The sequence below is a fragment of the Homo sapiens genome, chromosome 7 (assembly GCF_000001405.40).
Source record: "Homo sapiens chromosome 7, GRCh38.p14 Primary Assembly".
NCBI classification, from domain to species: Eukaryota; Metazoa; Chordata; class Mammalia; order Primates; family Hominidae; genus Homo; species Homo sapiens.
Window position 1 is genome coordinate 115,023,049 of NC_000007.14, and position 8,183 is coordinate 115,031,231.

Genomic DNA, 8,183 nt, shown 5'->3' on the forward strand with positions numbered 1-8,183 from the left:
TTATAACTGGACCATTGGGCAGGATTTTTAACATCTGTAACTGTGGGGAATTTCCCATAGAATATCAAATATGGATCCAAGTCTCTGACATTCATTTTTCTATGATATTTCTAATTGTGCCCAGAGGATAAGAAAGAGTTGGCGCATCCAATAAATATAATCATTTACATGCACGGAGCTCCCTTTGAAGTTAATAGGACCTATGGAAAGGGGAGTTATGCACCACAAAAACGAAGTTCAACGTGAATCTAGTTCTTTTTTTTAACATGCAGTGGTATTGCCAATGCATTTGGATTTTCTTGCTGCTTATCTTTCCTTTGTGTGTGATGTTTAAGTTGGAGTTGAGGGAAGTGCTCCATGTGTAGAGGAAAGATAGCCCAAAAAAGAGGATGTGGTGATTGGCAGCTTACACTCAGGGACAGCTTTAGGAGATAGCAAAAGTGATAGGGCTGACATTTGTAGAGCTTGTTTAACTTTTCAGAAGAAAACCGTATCCGTTTTCTCATTTGATCTTCACAAAACTGTGATTCTTCTAGGATAGACGTTTTAACTTCCATTTTACAGAGGAAAAAACTGGGACAGATTGCTTAAGTTTACTTTTTAAAGTAACATTGTTAGTTACCAATAGACCTAGGAAACCTAATTTCTATTTCTGGATCTTTCCATTAGACGGGTATATTTCTTATGTAATTTTACATATTACCAAATATAATAAATAGATTCAATCAAAACAGCTTGGCTTGAAGCTGGGATGGAAACACGCGGATCTGAAGTCTTGCCTGTCTTGTTTCTTGTCTCCCATCTTTCCTACCTTGAGTGGGTATCATGACTTGGGCTCTAAGGGCGAATAAAATTCATAGCTACTGTACTACTTATCTTTCATGGCATGCATTGACCCAAAAGTCAATGAACTCACAATGTGTTACTGTTCTGTGCCTACTTATCAATGATGTCCATTGTTTTTGGGTGGATGAAGAATCAAGAGTTAGATGTTCTTCATAAGATTAGGTGTCATTCATTTTCCATTTACCACCCTCAGATCAGTTTTCTCTTTCTGCCTGATTTTGTGCCAGGGTGTCTTGCTTTCTGATTTCCAGTTGGCTTTGGCTGATGGTAGGCACTGGTGGGAAATCAAAAGATGGGAGAGAAGTCAAGGTATTAATTCCCACCCCACCCTTGCCCCTGTTCCTTCCAGACAGTGTTTGATAGTAGCTCTGTTCCTCCACATTAGGGTTTCCTGTGCAACGGCCCCTCTCCCACAGCTACAGCTCTCTCCTGGTACCTCTTCAGGCTTGGAGAAGCAGAGGTTTTCCAATGTTGTTAGTTCCTGGAACTTTAAACTCCTTTGCTGGTCTTCTTACAACTGATTGTTTCTCTGCTAACAGTCCCTTTTATTAATCTCCCTTCAATTAAACCCTATGAGGGAGCCATCTGTTTCCTGTCAGTACTTTGAATAATGAGGTAGTGAGAAAAAGCGATCTTGTTTGTGTGCAGACGCACATGTCTGAGTTCAATCTTGTTATCATGTATTTCTAAGATTTATGAAAATATAAATCCTGGGGTATCTTGTATATTTGTGTCTGTTTAACATTGACAGTTACTCAAATATAATAATACAATAATACAAGAACTACACTAGACACTCCAGAAACTTAATAGTTTTAGTTCAATGCCTACATATCCTCCTTGTTAACATTTGACAATGTAACAATCTGGGGGTAGGGGACAGGGAAAGAAAGAGGGTATCATTACCATGGGTGATACAAAGCTTATGGTCGAGTTACAAGGCTTTAGGATCCCCAAAGGTGATGACATTTTCCTTTATTTCCCACAACCTAAAATGACTCAGTATCACTATCAACATAAATATACCCATAGAGAAATCTTAGCTTACAGCTTACAGATCCACCCAGAAATGCCATATTTGGGGATTCTATATAAATGTACCCAATTGTTAAAAGTTAACATGGCATCTATATGCCTTTGGCACCAAACATTTCTAAAGTAAGGTGGGTCTGTTATCAGATCTTTATTATTATTATTATTATTATTATTATTATTATTATACTTTAAGTTTTAGGGTACATGTGCACATTGTGCAGGTAAGTTACATATGTATACATGTGCCGTGCTGGTGTGCTGCACCCACTAACTTGTCATCTAGCATTAGGTATATCTCCCAATGCTATCCCTCCCCCCTCCCCCCACGACCACAACAGTCCCCAGAGTGTGATATTCCCCTTCCTGTGTCCATGTGATCTCATTGTTCAATCCCCACCTATGAGTGAGAATATGCGGTTTGGTTTTTTGTTCTTGCGATAGTTTACTGAGAATGATGATTTCCAATTTCATCCATGTCCCTACAAAGGACATGAACTCATCATTTTTTATGGCTGCATAGTATTCCATGGTGTATATGTGCCACATTTTTTTAATCCAGTCTATCATTGTTAGACATTTGGGTTGGTTCCAAGTCTTTGCTATTGTGAATAATGCCGCAATAAACATACGTGTGCATGTGTCTTTATAGCAGCATGATTTATAGTCCTTTGGGTATATACCCAGTAATGGGATGGCTGGGTCAAATGGTATTTCCAGTTCTAGATCCCTGAGGAATCGCCACACTGACTTCCACAATGGTTGAACTAGTTTACAGTCCCACCAACAGTGTAAAAGTGTTCCTATTTCTCCACATCCTCTCCAGCATCTGTTGTTTCCTGACATTTTAATGATTGCCATTCTAACTGGTGTGGATGGTATCTCATTGTGGTTTTGATTTGCATTTCTCTGATGGCCAGTGATGATGAGCATTTTTTCATGTGTTTTTTGGCTGCATAAATGTCTTCTTTTGAGAAGTGTCTGTTCATGTCCTTCGCCCACTTTTTGATGGGGTTGTTTGTTTTTTCTTGTAAATTTGTTTGAGTTCATTGTAGATTCTGGATATTAGCCCTTTGTCAGATGAGTAGGTTGCAAAAATTTTCTCCCATTTTGTAGGTTGTCTGTTCACTCTGATGGTAGTTTCTTTTGCTGTGCAGAAGCTCTTTAGTTTAATTAGATCCCATTTGTCAATTTTGTCTTTTGTTGCCATTGCTTTTGGTGTTTTAGACATGAAGTCCTTGCCCATGTCTATGTCCTGAATGGTAATGCCTAGGTTTTCTTTTAGGGTTTTTATGGTTTTAGGTCTAACGTTTAAGTCTTTAATCCATCTTGAATTGATTTTTGTATAAGGTGTAAGGAAGGGATCCAGTTTCAGCTTTCTACATATGGCTAGCCAGTTTTCCCAGCACCATTTATTAAATAGGGAATCCTTTCCCCATTGCTTGTTTTTCTCAGGTTTGTCAAAGATCAGATAGTTGTAGATATGCGGCGTTATTTCTGAGGGCTCTGTTCTGTTCCATTGATCTATATCTCTGTTTTGGTACCAGTACCATGCTGTTTTGGTTAATGTAGCCTTGTAGTATAGTTTGAAGTCAGGTAGTGTGATGCCTCCAGCTTTGTTCTTTTGGCTTAGGATTGACTTGGTGATGCGGGCTCTTTTTTGGTTCCATATGAACTTTAAAGTAGTTTTTTCCAATTCTGTGAAGAAAGGCATTGGTAGCTTGATGAGGATGGCATTGAATCTGTAAATTACCTTGGGCAGTATGGCCATTTTCACGATATTGATTCTTCCTACCCATGAGTATGGAATGTTCTTCCATTTGTTAGTATCCTCTTTTATTTCCTTGAGCAGTGGTTTGTAGTTCTCCTTGAAGAGTTCCTTCACATCCCTTGTAAGCTGGATTCCTAGGTATTTTATTCTCTTTGAAGCAATTGTGAATGGGAGTTCACTCATGATTTGGCTCTCTGTTTGTCTGTTGTTGGTGTATAAGAATGCTTGTGATTTTTATACATTGATTTTGTATCCTGAGACTTTGCTGAAGTTGCTTATCAGCTTAAGGAGATTTTGGGCTGAGACAATGGGGTTTTCTAGATACACAATCATGTCGTCTGCAAACAGGGACAATTTGACTTCCTCTTTTCCTAATTGAGTACCCTTTATTTCCTTCTCCTGCCTAATTGCCCTGGCCAGAACTTCCAACACTATGTTGAATAGGAGTGGTGAGAGAGGGCATCCCTGTCTTGTGCCAGTTTTCAAAGGGAATGTTTCCAGATTTTGCCCATTCAGTATGATATTGGCTGTGGGTTTGTCATAGATAGCTCTTATTATTTTGAAATACGTCCCATCAATACCTAATCTATTGAGAGTTTTTAGCATGAAGGGTTGTTGTATTTTGTCAAAGTCTTTTTCTGCATCTATTGAGATAATCATGTGGTTTTTGTCTTTGGCTCTGTTTATATGCTGGATTACACTTATTGATTTGCGTATATTGAACCAGCCTTGCATCCCAGGGATGAAGCCCACTTGATCATGGTGGATAAGCTTTTTGATGTGCTGCTGGATTCATTTTGCCAGTATTTTATTGGGGATTTTTGCATCAATGTTATTGGTCTAAAATTCTCTTTTTTTGTTGTGTCTCTGCCTGGCTTTGGTATCAGAATGATGCTGGCCTCATAAAATGAGTTAGGGAGGATTCCCTCTTTTTCTACTGATTGGAATAGTTTCAGAAGGAATGGGACCAGTTCCTCCTTGTACCTCTGGTAGAATTCAGCTGTGAATCCATCTGGTCCTGGACTCTTTTTGGTTGGTAAGCTATTGATTATTGCCACAATTTCAGATCCTGTTATTGGTCTATTCAGAGATTCAACTTCTTCCTGGTTTAGTCTTGGGAGAGTGTATGTGTCGAGGAATGTATCCATTTCTTCTAGATTTTCTAGTTTATTTGCGTAGAGGTGTTTATAGTATTCTCTGATGGTAGTTTGTATTTCTGTGGGATCGGTGGTGATATCCCCTTTATCATTTTTTATTGCGTCTATTTGATTCTTCTCTCTTTTTTTCTTTATTAGTCTTGCTAGCAGTCTATCAATTTTGTTGATCCTTTCAAAAAACCAGCTCCTGGATTCATTAATTTTTTGAAGGGTTTTTTGTGTCTCTATTTCCTTCAGTTCTGCTCTGATTTTAGTTATTTCTTTCCTTCTACTAGCTTTTGAATGTGTTTGCTCTTGCTTCTCTAGTTCTTTTAATTGTGATGTTAGGGTGTCAATTTTAGATGTTTCCTGCTTCTCTTGTGGGCATTTAGTGCTATAGATTTCTCTCTACACACTGCTTTAAATGTGTCCCAGAGATTCTGGTATGTTGTGTCTTTGTTCTCGTTGGTTTCAAAGAACATCTTTATTTCTGCCTTCATTTCGTTATGTACCCAGTGGTCATTCAGGAGCAGGTTGTTCAGTTTCCATGTAGTTGAGCAGTTTTGAGTGAGATTCTTAATCCTGAGTTCTAGTTTGATTGCGCTGTGGTCTGAGAGATAGTTTGTTATAATTTCTGTTTTTTACATTTGCTGAGGAGTGCTTTACTTCCAAGTATGTGGTCAATTTTGGAATAGGTGTGGTGTGGTGCTGAAAAAAATGTATATTCTGTTGATTTGGGGTGGAGAGTTCTGTAGATGTCTATTAGGTCTGCTTGGTGCAGAGCTGAGTTCAATTCCTGGGTATCCTTGTTGACTTTCTGTCTCGTTGATCTGCCTAATGTTGACAGTGGGGTGTTAAAGTCTCCCATTATTAATGTGTGGGAGTCTAAATCTCTTTGTAGGTCACTCAGGACTTGCTTTATGAATCTGGGTGCTCCTGTATTGGGTGCATATATATTTGGGATAGTTAGCTCTTCTTGTTGAATTGATCCCTTTACCATTATGTAATGGCCTTCTTTGTCTCTTTTGATCTTTGTTGGTTTAAAGTCTGTTTTATCAGAGACTAGGATTGCAACCCCTGCCTTTTTTTGTTTTCCATTTGCTTGGTAGATCTTCCTCCATCCTTTTATTTTGAGCCTATGTGTGTCTCTGCACGTGAGATGGGTTTCCTGAATACAGCACACTGATGGGTCTTGACTCTTTATCCAATTTGCCAGTCCGTGTCTTTTAATTGGAGCATTTAGTCCATTTACATTTAAAGTTAATATTGTTATGTGTGAATTTGATCCTGTCATTATGATGTTAGCTGGTTATTTTGCTTGTTAGTTGATGCAGTTTCTTCCTAGTCTTGATGGTCTTTACATTTTGGCATGATTTTGCAGCAGCTGGTACTGGTTGTTCCTTTCCATGTTTAGCGCTTCCTTCAGGAGCTCTTTTAGGGCAGGTCTGGTGGTGACAAAATCTCTCAGCATTTGCTTTTCTGTAAAGTATTTTATTTCTCCTTTGCTTATGAAGTTTAGTTTGGCTGGATATGAAATTCTGGGTTGAAAATTTTTTTCTTTAAGAATGTTGAATATTGACCCCCACTCTCTTCTGGCTTGTAGGGTTTCTGCCGAGAGATCCGCTGTTAGTCTGATGGGCTTCCCTTTGAGGGTAACCCGACCTTTCTCTCTGGCTGCCCTTAACATTTTTTCCTTCATTTCAACTTTGGTGAATCTGACAATTATGTGTCTTGGAGTTGCTCTTCTCGAGGAGTATCTTTGTGGCGTTCTCTGTATTTCCTTAATCTGAACGTTGGCCTGCCTTGCTAGATTGGGGAAGTTCTCCTGGATAATATCCTGCAGAGTGTTTTCCAACTTGGTTCCATTCTCCCCATCACTTTCAGGTACACCAATCAGACGTAGATTTGGTCTTTTCACATAGTCTCATATTTCTTGGAGGCTTTGCTCATTTCTTTTTATTCTTTTTTCTCTAAACTTCCCTTCTCACTTCATTTCATTCATTTCATCTTCCATTGCTGATACCCTTTCTTCCAGTTGATCACATCAGCCCCTAAGGCTTCTGTATTCTTCACGTAGTTCTCGAGCCTTGGTTTTCAGCTCCATCAGCTCCGTTAAGCACTTCTCTGTATTGGTTATTCTAGTTATACATTCTTCTAAATTTTTTTCAAAGTTTTCAACTTCTTTGCCTTTGGTTTGAATGTCCTCCCGTAGCTCAGAGTAATTGGATCGTCTGAAGCCTTCTTCTCTCAGCTCGTCAAAGTCATTCTCCATCCAGCTTTTTTCCGTTGCTGGTGAGGAACTGCGTTCCTTTGGAGGAGGAGAGGCACTCTGCTTTTTAGAGTTTCCAGTTTTTCTGTTCTGTTTTTTCCCCATCTTTGTGGTTTTATCTACTTTTGGTCTTTGATGATGGTGATGTACAGATGGGTTTTTGGTGTGGATGTCCTTTCTGTTTATTAGTTTTCCTTCTAACAGACAGGACCCTCAGCTGCAGGTCTGTTGGAATACCCTGCCGTGTGAGGTGTCAGTGTGCCCCTGCTGGGGGGTGCCTCCCAGTTAGGCTGCTCGGGGGTCAGGGGTCAGGGACCCACTTGAGGAGGCCGTCTGCCCATTCTCAGATCTCCAGCTGCGTGCTGGGAGAACCACTGCTCTCTTCAAAGCTGTCAGACAGGGACATTTAAGTCTGCAGAGGTTACTGCTGTCTTTTTGTTTGTCTGTGCCCTGCCCCCAGAGGTGGAGCCTACAGAGGCAGGCAGGCCTCCTTGAGCTCTGGTGGGCTCCACCCAGTTCGAGCTTCCCGGCTGCTTTATTTACCTAAGCAAGCCTGGGCAATGGCGGGTGCCCCTACCCCAGCCTCGCTGCCGCCTTGCAGGTTGATCTCAGACTGCTGTGCTAGCAATCAGCGGGACTCCGTGGGCGTAGGACCCTCCGAGCCAGGTGCGCGATATAATCTCGTGGTGTGCTGTTTTTTAAGCCCGTCGGAAAAGCACAGTATTCGGGTGGCAGTGACCCGATTTTCCAGGTGCCGTCTGTCACCCCTTTCTTTGACTGGGAAAGGGAACTCCCTGACCCCTTGTGCTTCCCCAGTGAGGCAATGCCTCGCCCTGCTTCGGCTCGCGCACGGTGCACTGCACCCACTGACCTGCGCCCACTGTCTGGCACTCCCTAGTGAGATGAACCCGGTATCTCAGATAGAAGTGCAGAAATCACCTGTCTTCTGCGTGGCTCAGGCTGGGAGCTGTAGACCGGAGCTGTTCCTATTCGGCCATCTTGGCTCCTCCCTCCCCGTTATCAGATCTTAAACACATAGTTCAATCCTAAGTTAGAAAACTCACTACTTTTTTTTTTTTTTTTTTTTTTTTGAGACGGAGTCTTGCTCTGTCACCCAGGCTGGAGTGCA

At 40.9% G+C, this 8,183-nt stretch overlaps 1 annotated feature.

Annotated features, from left to right (window-relative positions):
- Positions 7,163–7,778: an enhancer, noted in NCBI's record as "NANOG-H3K27ac-H3K4me1 hESC enhancer chr7:114670265-114670880 (GRCh37/hg19 assembly coordinates)". NCBI's record gives its function as "activates a minimal SCP1, AML or CMV promoter by ChIP-STARR-seq in primed H9 embryonic stem cells {active_cell/tissue: H9 hESC(primed)}" and the evidence as "EXISTENCE:reporter gene assay evidence [ECO:0000049][PMID:30033119]".